General features: G+C 40.5%; 2 protein-coding genes across 26 annotated transcripts in view; one reads left to right on the forward strand and one right to left on the reverse strand.

The window, feature by feature from the left end:
- The window catches only part of RSF1 (remodeling and spacing factor 1), a 212224-nt gene that overhangs the window by 172754 nt on the left and 23846 nt on the right, over positions 1–15624 (reverse strand). The gene's annotated exons all lie outside the window — the stretch shown is intronic.
- The window catches only part of AAMDC (adipogenesis associated Mth938 domain containing), an 84881-nt gene that overhangs the window by 11619 nt on the left and 57638 nt on the right, over positions 1–15624 (forward strand). For 11 of the 25 annotated variants that reach the window (NR_171642.1, NR_171643.1, NR_133637.3 and 8 more), the window contains one exon: positions 9717–9866. Coding sequence is in view for 21 of the 25 variants with exons in the window: in NM_001392068.1 (NP_001378997.1) it covers positions 9735–9866 (132 nt within the window). In the remaining 4 variants the exon portion in view is untranslated. Of the gene's footprint in view, positions 1–8256; positions 8463–9716; positions 9867–15624 lie in introns of those variants that run through there. The other 14 variants (NR_171640.1, NM_001316958.3, NM_001316957.3 and 11 more) reach the window with 3 other exon arrangements.

Raw genomic sequence — 15624 nt, forward strand, 5'->3', positions numbered from 1 at the left:
TACCCAGGCTTATAGTGATGTTGTCAAAGAAGAATTCAGTCCATTTGTGCTCTGTAACAGCAGTCCCTAACCTTTTTGGCACAAGGGACCAGTATTGTGAAAGACAGTTTTTCCACAGACCAGGACAGAGATGGTTTCAGGATGATTCAAGCTCATTACATTTATTGTGCACTTTATTGTATATATATATGTGTGTGTGTGTGTGTGTGTGTGTGTGTGTGTGTGTGTGTGTGTGTATATATATATATTTTTTTTTTTTTTTTTTTTGAGACAGGGTCTCATTCTGTCACCCAGGCTGGAGTGCAATGGCAGATCTCATATCAGTGCAACCTCAATCTCCGAGGTTCAAGCAATTCTCCTGCCTCGGCTTTGGAGTAGCTGGGACTACAGGCATTCACCACCACACCCAGCTAATGTTTGCATTTTTAGTAGAGATGGGGTTTTCGCCATGTTGGCCAGGCTGTTTATTTTTATTATTATTACATTGTAGTATATAATGAAATAATTATACAACTGACCATAATACAGAATCAGTGGGAGCCCTGAGCTTGTTTTCCTACAACTAGATGGTTCCATCTGGGAGTGATGGGAGACAGTGACAGATCATCAGGCATTAGATTTTCATAAGGGACTGTGCAACCTAAATCCCTCACATGTGCAGTTCACAATAGGGTTCACGCATCTATGATCATCTAATGCTGCTGCTGATGTGTCAGGAGGTAGAGCTCGGGCAGTAATGTGAGCCACAGGAAGTGGCTTACATACAGACAAAGTATCGCTCACTCACCTGCTGCTTACCTCCTGTTGTGCAGCCCAGTTCCTAACAGATCACGGACTGGTAGCAGGCCTGTACCCAGGGGTTGGGGACTCCTGCTCTATGAATCTTCTCAGAGTTAATCACTATTCCCACTAATATCCCCTTGTACTTCATTTGTACCTATTAGAATGTTTATCAATACCTAACATTAAAATTCTCTACTCACCCTGGACTTAGCACAATCTGTTTTGTATTACAGTTAATCGTATATTAATACTTATCTATCATTCCATCTAGATTTTGACATTTCTTCTTGAGGTCATGAAATGATTCCATTTATTTTTGAGTAATTCTACCTTCCTAATTATTTATTCTGCCAGCTCTTAGCACAAAGAGTTATACATGTTAGAAGCTCAAAAATGTTTCTTGAACAGAAATAAATTGAAAAGGCAACTGAAAGCAAATTCAAACTGTAGATGAAGAAAACTGCTTTTGAAACTAGTTACCACCATATATTAAGTAAAGTTGTCAACAGCAGAAAAAGTGTCCCATTATATGTCTGTTTTTTATGGTGCTTTAAATCTTATAATCCTAGACATAGTCATGCAGATTCATATATACTCCATACACAAACCAAGATTATAAATACTAATTCAATGAATAAAATGTAAATTACATATCAACAAATACAAATGGTAAACAAACTCACTTAATGGTTAGGGAAGCAATGGTTGCATTCCCAACAATGAACTAAACACTTTAGGTGGTTTTGAAGAAATTAGAAGATGCAAAGTTTCTACAGAAGTAAACACATAATGAAGATCAGAGAATCTCTTAATTATGATTTTATTATCAAACTGAGAAGGGCATGAGGAAACCATTACATCTTTTATGATGAATTTCATGGAGAAAGTTGATTTTGTTTTTTTTTTTTTTTTTTTTTGAGACAGAGTCATGCAGTCTCGGCTCACTGCAACCTCCTCCTCCCAGGTTCAAGTGATTCTCCTGCCTCAGCCTCCTGAGTAGCTGGAATTACAAGTACATACCACCTCGTTCAGCTAATTTTTGTATTTTTGGTACATATGGGTTTTCACCATGTTGGTCAGGCTGATCTCGAACTCCTGACCTCAGGTGATCCATCCACCTTGGCCTCCCAAAGTTCTGGGATTACAGACGTGAGCCACTGCGCCTGGCCAAGAAAATGGATTTTAAGGGTAATTCAAATGGCTAGGAAAAGACTGAATAAGTACTTGCAGAAGAATGTTTCTAGTATCAAGATAAGGAGGTATAATGGAAAGGACATAACTTTTGACATCTGATGGCTTTAGTTTCAAATCTCACCTTTACCACTCAAACTGTAACATTATTGATAATTAATACTGAGAGTGGAATACAGAAGTTAAAAAAATGAATATTATCTCATGAGCTAAACCAGAGTAGTCCGAAGGGTATCCATATTTTTATAAAAAAAGTAACAACAAAAATCTGATTTATAAGGATAAATAATTATTTTGGAGACTAGTACTTCCTTAATACATATTCTCCCCTTGAAATCTCTACTTTTAAGCTGGGCACATTGCCTCTTAGAACAGATAGATCTAGCATTGTTTGCAATTGAGTGTGACCACATGACTGTATTCTAGCAAATAACATGCAAACAGAAGTATTCTCTGAAACCTTTCAGGAAATTTCTTAAAGGACACCAGACATATACCCTTTGCCCCGTCCCACTTTATCTCTTTATTCTGTTGCTTGGAACATGGATGTGATCGCCAGAGCTCCATATTAAACTATGAGAGTGAAGTCCTCATCATCAAGACTGTGAGGCTGAAACCTGGAAGCCACCTAATTCCTAGACTTTGGGATAACTACTATACCTGCCGTATGTTGACTACCTCCAGACTTTAAACTTTGTCTTATTTAAGCCACTATGCTTTGGGGTATGTTTAACTCATAGTGATTATGGTTTATTTTCTAAATCAGACTCATCTTCCTCGTTGATACTCCCAAAAAAGCAGCAGTGACATTTTATCTCCCAGGAAGTTGTTTTCCTAATAATAAATTCTATAATTTTCCTATGCATTTCCTTATTTAATAGTTGTTGAGTCTAAAGTTGGGGCCAGGCGTGGTGGCTCACGCCTGTAATCCCAGCACTTTGGGAGACTGAGGTGGGCGGATCGCTTGAGATCAGGAATTTGAGACCAGCCTGGCAAACATGGCGAAACCCTGTCTCTACCAAAATATACAAAAAATTAACCAGGCGTGGTGGCATGTACCTGTAATCCCAGCTACAAGGGTGGCTGAGGCACAAGAATCACTTGGAGGTTGCAGTGAGCCGAGATCATGCCACTGCACTCTAGCCTGGGTGACAGAGTGAGACTCTGTGTCAAAAAAGAAAAAAAAAATAATAATAAAAATAAAGTTGGAGTAGAATGGCAAAGTGAATTGAAGAATACATGCTGTAGAGTCAGACAGACTTGGATTCAAATTCTCATTTTCTCACTTATTAGCTATATAACTTGGAACAAAGTTCTTAACCACTCTCCAATCTTGATGTTGTTGAGATAACAGATCTAAAATATCTGGTACATAGTAGGTTCCCAATAAATATTCCTTTTTTTCTCAATTGAATTTTAAGACCCAGTTCAAATACTATTTCCTCAAACATATTTATTTAATTTCTTACTTAGAAATTGCTGTGGACTGAATGTGCCCTCCCCACCAACTTCATACATTGAAGCCCTAACCCCAAAAACGACTGTAGTTAGAGATAGGGTCTTCAAGGAGGTAGTTAAAATTAAATGAGATCATAAGAGTCAGGCCCTAATCTAATAGGATGGGTGAATTTATAAAAAGAGAAAGAGATAGCAGGTGTGCCCATGCAAGCAGAAAAAGCCATGTGAGAAAACAGCAAAAGGCATCCATTTCCAAGCCAAAAAGGCCTCGCCATAAACCAACCAATCCTATTGGCACCTTGATCTTGGACTTCTGGTCTCCAGAAGTGTGAGAAAATAAATTTCTATTGTTTAAGACACGCAGTCTGTGGTATTTTGTAATGGAAGCCCTATCAGACTAATAAAGAAATCCTCAAAACATACTCGTTATGTCTCTCCTTATATCACTTTTTAAAAGTTACTTTGTTTTTTCTTAAGAAGTTACCCTGTGGCCGGGCGCAGCGGCTTACGCTTGTAATCCCAGTACTTTGGGAGGCCTAGGCGGGTGGATCGCCTGAGGCTGGGAGTTCGAGACCAGCCTGAACAACATGGAGAAACGCCATCTCTACTAAAAATACAAAATTAGCTGGGCATGGTGGTGGGCACCTGTAATCCTAACTTCTCAGGAGGCTGAGGCAGGAGAATCGCTTGAACCCGGGAGGCGGAGGTTGCGGTGAGCCAAGATCGCGCCATTGCACTCCAGCCTGGGCAACAAGAGCGAAACTCCATCTCAAAAAAAGAAAAAGTTACCTTGTAATTATATGTGTTTGTCTTCTCTACTGTAGTATTAGATCCTCAAAAACAGGAATCATGTTTTATGAATTTGTATCTTCCTTCCATAGCACCCATAACAATATATTGAACTTCTGTGTTGTTTTTTGTTTGAGTTTTTTGTTTGTTTGTTTGCTTGCTTGTTTTTTGAGACGTAGTCTCGCTCTGTCACCCAGGCTGGAGTGCAGTGGCACGATCTCAGCTCACTGCAACCTCCACCTCCCAGGTTCAAATGATTCTCCTGCCTCAGTCTACCGAGTAGCTGGGATTACAGGCACCCGCCACCACACCCAGCTAATTTTTGTTATTTTTAGTAGAGACAGGGTTTCACCACGTTGGCCAGGCTGGTCTCTTAACTCCTGACCTCGTGATCCGCCTGCCTCGGCCTCCCAAAATGCTGGCATCACAGATGTAAGCCACTGCGCCCGTCCCTTTGGTTTTTGTTTGTTTGTTTGTTTGTTTGTTTTTGAGATGGAGTCTCGCTCTGTCACCCAGGCTGGAGTGCAGTGGTGCGATCTTGGCTCATTGTTACCTCCACCTCCTGCCTCAGCATCCCGGGTAGATAGGACTACAGGTGTGCATCACTACGCCCGGCTAATTTTTGTATTTTTAGTAGAGACAGGGTTTCACCATGTTGGCCAGGCTGGTCTTGAACTCCTGACCTCAAGTGATCCACCTGCTTTGGCCATCCAAAGTGCTGGGATTACAGGCATGAACCACCACGCCCAGCCCTCAGGTACTTATTTTTTAGATGGACATTCAGAAATTGAGCCTGGGCACAGTGGCTCATGCCTATAATGCAAGCACTTGGGAGGCTGAGAAGACAGATTGCTTGAGCCCAGGATTTGGAGACCAACATGGGCAACATAGTGAGACCCTGGCTCTAAAAATAAATAAATAAATAAATAAAATTACAAAATTAGCTGGATATGGTGCCACACACCTCTAGTTCCAGCTAGGAACTAGCCTGAGGTGGGAAGATCACTGGAGCCCAGGGGCTTGAGGTTGCAGTGAGCTAAGATCACACTACTGCACTCCAGACTGGATGAAAGAATGAGACACTGTCTCTTTGATATTAATAATAAGTTGAACTTGCAAAAATGGGTTATTAGTTATTAATGTTAATCAGAAGTAAGACTTTCTAATCGTCTTTAGTTGGAGATTAAATATGGTTAAGGAGACACATATAGGTGCCAAATTGACAAGATGTAGACTGTGACTGTTAGTTTTATGTGTCAACGTGGTAAGGTTATAGTACGGTTATTTAATCAAATACTAATCTAAGTGTTGCTGTGAACATACCTTGTAGATATGGTTAACATCTACAGTCAGTAGACTAGTGTATATATGAGATTATATCCTTGATACACTGAGTTGGCCTCTTCCAATCAGTTTAAAGTCCAAGCAAAACTGATGTTTCCTTGAAGAAGAAATACTGCCTCAGTACCATAACAACTCTTGCCCAAGGGTGAGCAGCTTACCAGTATTATCTATACATTTTGGACTTGCCAGCCTCCAAAATTTTGTGAGCCACTTTTTTGAAACAAGTCTGTCAATATTTATAGTCATCTGCTTCTGTTTCTCTGGATAACCCTGACTGATACAAGTACCTTTTTTTTTTTTTTTTTTTGAGACAGAGTCTCGCTCTTTTGCCCAGGCCAGACTGCAGTGGCATTATCTGGGCTCACTGTAAGCTCCGCCTCCCGGGTTCACGCCATTCTCCTGCCTCAGCCTCTCGAGTAGCTGAGACTACAGGCGCCCACCACTGCGCCCAGCTATTTTTTTGTATTTTTAGTAGAGACGGAGTTTCACCGTGTTAGCCAGGATGGTCTCAATCTCCTGACCTCGTGATCCGCCCACCTGGGCCTCCCAAAGTGCTGGGATTACAGGCGTGAGCCACCGCGCCCAGCAATACAAGTACCTTTTACTTACTGTGCTTACCAGTGCTAGAATTTCCATTTTATTCCTTTTTGAAGTGTTTCCTTATTGAGATTCTGTATTTGCTGAGTCATTGTTACCATATTTTTGTTTATTTCTTTGTGCTTTATTTCCCTTATACTACTTTCTTTGAAGTCTTTGCTAAATGTCAGACTTCTGAGAATACTCAATTACTCAGATACAGTTTCTTTTTTAATTAATTAATTAATTTTTGGAGACAGAGTCTTGCTCAGTCACCCAGGCTGGAGTATAGTGGCAAGATCATTGCTCACTGCAGCCTCAAACTCATGGGCTCAAGTGATCCTCCTGCCTCAGCCTCCTGAGTAGCTAGCACTATAGGTGCAAAGCCAACACACTTGGCTTTTTTTTGTTTGTTTGTTTTTGTAGAAACCAGGTCTCCCAATAGGAATGCTTTTACACTATTGGTGGAAATGTAAATTAGTTCAACCTTTGTGGAAGACAGTGGGGCAATTCCTCAAAGACCTAGAACTAGAAATGCCATTTGACCCACCAATCCCATTACTGGGTATATACCCAGAGGAATATAAATCATTCTGTTATAAAGAGAAATGCACACATATATTCATTGCAGCACTGTTTACAATAGCGAAGACATGGAATCAACCCATATGCCCATCAGTGATAGACTGGATAAAGAAAATATGGTACCTCTACACCATGGTATACTATGCAACCATAAAGGGGAACAAGATCATGTCCTTTGCAGGGACACAGATGGAGCTGGAAGCCATTATCCTCAGCAGACTAACACAGGAACAGAAAACTGAACAGCACATGTTCTCACTTATAAGTGGGTGCTGAACAATGAGAACACATGGACACAGGGAGGGGAACAACACACACTGGGGCTTGCTGGTGGGGGTCAGGGGGAGGGAGAGCATCAGGATAAATAGCTAATCCATGTGGGGCTTAATACCTAGGTGATGGGTTGATAGGTGCAGCAAACCACCATGGCACATGTGTACCTATGTAATGAACGTGCATGTCTTACACATGTATCCTGGAACGTAAAAAAGATGTTACATGCATATAACAATTTCCAAGATATTGGAAAGCAAAAAAGCAAAATAAAGACCAGGGTTGATAGCATGTTATCATTTCTGTAATATTAGAGTATGGAGAGGGGGACAGTAAACACACACACACACACACACACAACACCCAGGGATTTGAATGATTAATGCACAATATACCCTTGAAAAGAAACATGAAAACTAGGTATCTGGGGTTCATGGGAGCAAGGAAACTTTCACTTTCTACTGTTTAGTACCTTTTGAATTAAAAGTATCTTTAAGTGGCTCACGCCTGTAATCCCAGCACTTTGGGAGGCCAAGGCAGGTGGATCACCTGAGGTCAGGAGACCAAGACCAGCCTGGCCAACATAGTGAAACCCTGTCTCCACCAAAAATACAAAAATTAGCCGGGCATGGTAGCACATGCCTGTAATCCCAGCTACTTGGGAGGCTGAGGCAGGATAATCACTTGAACCCCGGAGGTGGAGGTTGCAGTGAGCCAAGATCGCACCACTGCACTCCAGCCTGGGCAACAGAGCCAGACTCCATCTCAAAAGAAAAAAAAGTGTTTAATGTATTTCTATTAGAAAAATAAAATTCTAATAAAAACATAAAAGAAACTGGGTATCCCTATGTTACCCAGGCTGGTCTTGAAATTCTGGCCTCAAGTGAAATTCCCACCTTGGCCTCCCAATGTGCTGGGATTACAGGCATGAGCCACCACACTCAGCCCCAGGTAACAGTTTCAGTTTACTGAGTGTGGGTCATAGTTTTTGTTTATTTGCATGCCTTGTAATTTTTTGTTGAAGAGTGACATTTTAGATAACATATTGTAGGACAGTGTGGATGGCATCCAGCCTGGCGAAACAACTTTTCCCCCTGAAAGTTGTTCTTCTGTTTATTTGTGTGTGGGGGTTTAGCCATTTGCCTATACTAAATGTCTTAATCCATTTTGTGCTTAATCCATGTTGTGCTCCTATAACTGAATACCTGAAACTGGGTAATTTAAAATTTATAATGAAAATAATTTTTTTTCTCACAGTTCTGGAGGCTGGGAAGTCCAAGACCAGTTGGCTCGCATCTGGTGAGAGCCTTCTTGCTGCATCATCCTATAGTGGAAGTCATCACATGGTGGAAGCACCAAGAGAGGGCCATACTTGTCCTTTTATAATGAACCTACTACTCCTGCAATAACAGCATAATCTATTCATGAGGGTGGAACCCTCATGGCCTAATCAGCTCTTAAAGGTCCCACCTCTTAATGTTGTTATAATGGCAGTTAAATTTAAACATGAGTTTGGAAGGGTGCAGACATTCAAACCATAGCACTAAACTAAATCTATGAATTCTCCCATGCAATATGTGTCTACTTTAGTCTCTGTTCTGTTAGAGTTTTTTCCTTGATTTTATTCTTAAACCCAGTTTCCCAAGATTCTCCTTGGTGTGTATATAGCTTAGTGTTCAGCCAAACATTAATTAAACATTTGGCTCAAACACCTTGAGGCAGTAAGACTTTCTCTCTCTACTGATGGAACACTGTGTGTACAGGGGAGTGCGTTCAAAGTCCAGCTGTTGTATGTCTTCACTGGCTTTTACATTCTGCAAGGCCCTCTTGAACCTTCTTGCTTATCCACTGTGTATGTGCTGAGGATCCATTAGCCCAGAATGTTTGGGTGTCTTGGGTCTATCTTCCAAATCTTTGATGCATATCCTTGCAGCCTCTGGTCCACTTGGGATATGTAGAGAGCTTATAAAGCCCCCTGTGGCTGTGTCATCCCTGGGAAATTCCTGTTAAATCCCACCTAGTTTGCCAATCCATAGCTTGCCTCAAATAAAAGGCAACATAAGGCAAGCAGAGCCACCTTCTATCCATGTTTGCTTGCCACTGAGATCACCTTTTTAAACTGATAATGGCTCCAACTCAAGTAAGCCTCCTTTGGCCATGGCGGCAAGGCTGTTCATTTTCATGTTCTGCCCCAACCTACTTGAACTTCACTTACAACAGAACTGGAGTGGTGGAATGGGGGTTGTTCCAGGCAAGAACAACAAAAAGAAATTGTCCTTATCTGAAATTCAGCGATCTTCATGAATAAGCATTTCTCTGATTGTGGTATATGCCTTTAATTTTATTTCTAGAGTGACAAATTTTTGGTTTTGACAGTTTTTTTCTAGCTTTATAGTTTCTTCTTGGGGAGAGAATATGTCAACCTCACTCCATCATGCTGAAGTAAATCTTCATCTCTTAATTTTATCTCTCAAAAATATCCTAAGGATTCCCTCTGGAGCCTGATAAGTAATTGCAGTATCTGGTTTCTATGGTTGGATGATTCAGGATTCCAGGAATAATAGTTACTTTTTAGACCTCTAAAGAAGAAGTAACAACCACGTAAATGAAAAGATGCTTCTTAAATCATGGAGAATCAGGGCTTAGTATCACTGTATTTTCAAACTGTTTCAGCCTTACTTTATAACTGATTTAGTATATTTTTCTTTTAATTTCAGACTTCAGTGAAGTTCCTTATGACTTCCCCTGAAATTGCTTCCTTATCATGGGGGCAAATGAAAGTAAAAGGCTCTAATACAACCTATAAGGACTGCAAAGTATGGCCAGGGGGTAGTCGGACTTGGGATTGGAGAGAAACAGGAACTGAGGTAAGATATTAGTCTTTGGTTGATACTACATGAGGCTGACCAAGTGATTTCCAACTTCCTAAGCTGCAATGACTAAGTGAAAAACTATTTCTCTTGTGTCTTTTTGAGATATAATTCATATACCATTAAATTCACCCTTTTAAAGTATGCAATTCAATGGACTTCTTACATTCAATGCCCCTGTAGTGACATTATAGTGACTTACATTCATAAACTTGTACAACAGTTACCACTGTTAGTTCCAGAATATATTTATCACCTCAGAAAGGAACCACATAACCACTACCAGTCAGTGCCCATTTACTACCACTCCTAGCCCCTAGAAATGATTAATCTACTTTCTGTTGTTATAGATATGCCTATTCTGGATGTTTTCTATAAATTACATCATTCAGATATCTTAGGTGTGTTCCTAGGAGTGGATTTCTGGGTTATATAGTGTTTAACCTTTTGAGGTACTGCCAGACTATCTTCCAAGGCACCTGCACCATTTTACATCTCCACTAGGAATATAGGAAGGTTCCAGTTTTTCCACATCCTCCTCAACACATTGTTCTTTTCATTGTTTTGTTTTTATTAGAACCATCTTATTAGGTGTGAAGTGTTGTTCTCATTGCGGTTTTTATTTGCATTTCCCTGCATTTCCTCAAGTATTCTCAGTGTGCCATTCCCAAGGTAGAGCCTCCTTTCCATGAGTGTAAGTTGGGCAAAACAAGGGAGCCTCTACCTTTTGACCCCACTCACCTGGGATGTAGCCTCAACAACAGAAAGATGGGGGCAGGATGAGAGGCACTAAAGTCCTGCTCCTCCTGGGAAGGAAGCCTTCCAGCTAGATGCTGAGGGGAGAAAGAGTCTTGTGTTCTTGGCTATGGCAATCTGGAGAGTAGTCTCTGCCTCACGATGGGGATGGGGCAGGAAGGCATTTATCTTGACGCCTCCACTGTACATGTGCACAGATTCTTACCTGTCTTACCAAATATCTCAATGAGTTCTGGCTTCTATAAAAAAAATTGTCATAGACTGAGTGCCTTAAATAATAAATATTTATTTCTCACAGTTCTGGAGACTGAAAGTGTGAGATTAGGATGCCAGCATGGTTCTGGTCCTTGTATTAATTCATTTTCATTAGTTCATTTTCATGCTGCCGATAAAGACATAACTGAGACTGGGGAGAAAAAGAGGTTTAATGGACTTACAGTTCCACATGGCTGGGGAGGCCTCACAATCATGGCAGAAGGCAAGGAGGAGCAAGTCACGTCTTACATGGATGGTGGCAGGCAAAGAGAGCTTGTGCAGAGAAACTCTCGTTTTTAAAACCATCAGATCTCATGAGACTCATTCACTATCACGAGAGCAGCACAGGAAAGACCCACCCCCATAATTCAATCACCTCCCACCGAGTTCCTCTCACAATATGCAGGAATTGTGGGAGTTAAAAATCTAAGATGAGATTTGGGTGGGGACACAGCCAAACTGTATCAGCCCTCTTCTAGTTTGCAGACAGCCAACTTCTCTTTGTATCCTTACATAGTGGAAAGAGAGGTAGCTAGCTTTTGGGCTTCTTATAAGGGCACTAATCTCATTCATGAGGGCTCTACCCTTAGGACCCAGTTACCTCCTACAGGCCCCACCTCTAAATAACATCACATTGGGATTAGAGTTTCAATATATACATTTTTAAAGGACACACATATTAAGTCCATTGCAGCAAATTTTTTTTTACAGTTTTTTCTTTCTTTCTTTGTTTTTTTTTGGAGACAGTCTCCCTCTGTCGTCCAGGCTAGAGTGCAGTGGTGAGATCATGGCGCACTGTAGTCTACACCACCTGGGTGAAAGGGATCTTCCTCCCTCAGCCTCCTGAGTAGCAAGGACCACAGGCATGCAATCACACCTGGCTTATTTTTTTTAGTTTTTATAGAGATGAGGTCTCACTACATTGCCCAGGCTGGTCTTGAACTCCTGACCCCAAGAAATCCTCCCACCTTGGCCTCCCAAAATGCTGAGATTACAGGCATGAGCCATCATGCCCAGCCAGATTTTGTTGAATACACGTTTATTCATTGGGTATTTGCTCTTAGGACCATTTCCAGAGGCTTTAGGGATTTTGTTTTGTTGTTTTGTTGAGTTCTTGGTTTGGGTTTTTCTTTGTCGTTATTATTAATAATTTTTCACATAGGAGTGGGTCAGTGGAGCGCCTCATGATGTAATGATGGAAGTAGATCCTTCATTTTTGAAGAATAGTTTGTTGGATATAGATTTCTTTGATCAATCGTCTTTTTCTTTCAGCACTTTCAATATGCCATCCCACCACCTTTTGGCTTCATTGGTTTCTAATGATAAATCAACCATTAGCATTATTAGATCTCCCTTGGACTTGTTGAGTTGCTTCTCTCTAACTGCTTTCAAAACACATCACAGTAATTTAACTATGATATGTCTAGGTATGGATATCTTTGAGTTTGTCCTACTTGGAATTTATTGAGCTTCATGAAGATGTAGATTATTGTTTTTTTAATCAAATTTGGGGAAGTTTAGAGCCATTATTTCTTCAAGTATTCTTTCTACTCCTATCTCCCTTTTCTTGTGACTCTCATTATGAATATATTGATAGGCGTTAGGGTGTCCTACAGGTCTCTGAGTCTATATTCTTTGTCTTCATTTTTTTTCTTTCCTTTGTCTCAGACTGGATAATCTCAATTGACCTATTTTCAATTTTGTTGATTCTTATCTGCTGTTGAGCCCCTGTAGTGACATTTTTATTTCCATCATTGTACTTTCCAGCTCCAGAATTTCTTTTTCTTTTCTTTTTTTTTGGTGGGGGGGATAGACTATTGCTCTGTCACCACAGCTGGAGTGCCGTGGCACAATTTCAGCTCACTGCAACCTCCGCCTCCCAGGTTCAAGCAATTCTCCTGCCTCAGCCTCCTGTGTAGCTGGGATTACAGGTGCACCCCACCATGTCCAGCTCTTTTTGTATTTTTAGTAGAGACAGGGTTTTACCATGTTGGCCAGGCTGGTCTCAAATTCCTGACCTCAAGTGATCCACCCACCTCGGCCTCCCAAAGTGCTGGGTTTATAGGTGAGCCACCACACCTAGCCCAGAATTTCTGTTTGGTTATTTTTAACAATCTATATTTCTTTATTGATATTTTTTATTTGGTAAGATATTGTTATACTTTCCTTTAGTTCTTTTGAACATGGTTTCCTTTGGCTCCTATTACATATTTAAAATCACTGATTTACAGTCTTTCTCTGTAAGTCCAATGTCTGGGCTTCCTCTGGGATAGTTTCTACTGTCTGTTTCCCCCAATCCCCATATGGACCTGCCTTTCTTTTTCTTTCTTTCTTAATGTCTTTGTTGTTTTGTTTATATTTCTCATTTTTTTTTTTGAGAACTGGACATTTTACATAATATAATGTGGCAACACCGGAAATCAACTCCCCCTCCCATTCTGAGGGTTTGTTGTTGCTATTTTTGCAGTTATTTGTTCCTATGTGGTTCTATAAAGTCTGTATTCTTTGTTTGTGGCTTCTGAGGTCTGCTAATTTACCTTAGTGATGAGCTAATGATTTGACTGAGATTTCTTTACATTGCTGGAATCAGATGTTTAGATTTACCCATGTGTCTACCAGTTGCCTTTCTTATTATTCATTTTTGTAATTTAGATCTTTTGAGGTCAATTTCTTCTTTTAGAAAAATCAGTATCCAGCTGGGCATGGTGGCTCACGCCTGTGATCACAGCACTTTGGGAGACCAAGGCAGGCAGCTCATTTTAGGCCAGGAGATTGATACCATCCTGGCCAACATGGTGAAACCCCATCGTCTCCTCAACTTTGGGAGGCTGAGGCAGGCGGATCACCTGAGGTCAGGAGTTCGAGAGCAGCCTGACCAACGTGGAGAAACCCCGTCTCTACTAACAATACAAAATTAGCCGGGTGTGGTGGCACATGCCTGTAATCCCAGCTACTTGGGAGGCTGAGGCAGGAGAATCGCTTGAACCCGGGAGGTGGAGGTTGCGGTGAGCCAAGATTGCGCCATTGCACTCCATCCTGGGTAACAAGAGTGAAACTACATCTCATAAAAAGAAATTAGTATCCTTTAGAAGTTCTTTCAGTAAGGATTTCTTGGTGATCTCTCCCAGTTTTTATTTGTCTGAAAAGGTCCTTGTTTTTTAATTTTAATTTGTCTTGTATTCTAAGTTGACAATTTTTTTTAGAACTTTATTTGTAGGAACCCTGAATAATCAGACTATGCCATTTGGGATCTGTCCCATAAAGGAAGATTCATATTTGCTTCTTTTCTGTATCCTGTGTTACTCTCAATCTGGGATCACTTTTAATTTTTTGACTGATGGCTTCCAAAACTGGGCTGATAGTGTAAATTTGAGCCCCAAACTGATGTATGAGCAGGTTTATGGTTATAAATTATCAGGGAAGACATTTTTCCCCTCTAGAGCCATGACTGAGCAGAAATCTTTCCTCATCTTTTTCATTTGCCCACGGGTGGAATTTTTGGGTCTCAGAATGTGTGATAAAATGGAAGACTCTGAAAATGGCAGTGCCTTAGGGTAACTTCAATATCAGTTCACCATTTTGATTTCCAACTCCCCCTTCACTTTGGCCTTTGGGAATTTCCCTTTGCTTTCTGCAAGCTCAGCTATGTATTTCAGAGGATGTTTATTTTTATCTGGCATTTGGTTTAAGGAAACTTTGTAGGTTGTATAGTCTATCACATTGTTCTGCATTGTAAACAGTTATGCCTACAAAATTAGGCCCCACATAGAAAGAGAGCCCTAACACATATTCTTTGTTCATGCCTTGGTTTTGAACTGCATGCACTCATTGATGATTGTGACACCCAGTTACCAACCTAGATCATAATGGATGGAATATACCTAGATTGGTAAAAAGAATAGGAGGGCATGGAGATATAGAAGGGACAGAATGAAAGAAAACTGAGGAATAAGAAGCCTTAAATCATGTAGCCTACTTGAACCAAATGGCTCCATCAGAGTGAAGTTGGAAAATGGGAAGAATAGGTGGTGGTGTGGTTAATAGAGCATCTATATATGCAGAACTTAGTTTATATTGTATTCAGTTAATAAGTCATAACCACTTTAGCTAGTGTATTAGTCAGGGTTCTCCAGAAAAACAGAACTAGTAGGAGATACATATATATAAAATCAGGTTTACTATAAGAAATTGACTTGTCCGTGATCTGCTGTCTGCAAGTCTGAAGTCCTAAAAACCCCGGGAGCTGAAGGTTTAAATCCCAGTCCAAGAGCAGAAGAAATTGAGATGAGATGTCCCAGTTAAAATGGTGAGGCAGAAAAAAAGAGGCAAATTCTCCTTCCTCTGCTTTATGTTCTTTTCAGGCCCTCAATGGATTGGATGATGCCTACCAACATAGGGGAGGGTAGTCTACCGAGTCCACCAATTTAAATACTAATCTCATCCATAGACATTCTCACAGACAAACCCAGAAATAATATTTAATTTGGGCAGTCTGTAGTCCAGTTGAGCTGGCACATAAAATTAACCATCAAAGATACTTATGTGGGACAGTGATGTGTCTGACAAAGGTTATCCAGACTGTGGTTTAAGTTATACTGGAGCACAAACTTACATGGCTTCCACACTTGAGAGATCCATTTCCCTTCAGAAATGGCTTTAGTGCTGTATATTTCTATTTTTCCCACATAAGACCATATGAGTTAATATTACCATTAACCTCATTCTTTTTTTTTTGAGACGGAGT

Source organism: Homo sapiens, chromosome 11 (genome assembly GCF_000001405.40).
Source record: "Homo sapiens chromosome 11, GRCh38.p14 Primary Assembly".
Lineage (NCBI taxonomy): Eukaryota > Metazoa > Chordata > Mammalia > Primates > Hominidae > Homo > Homo sapiens.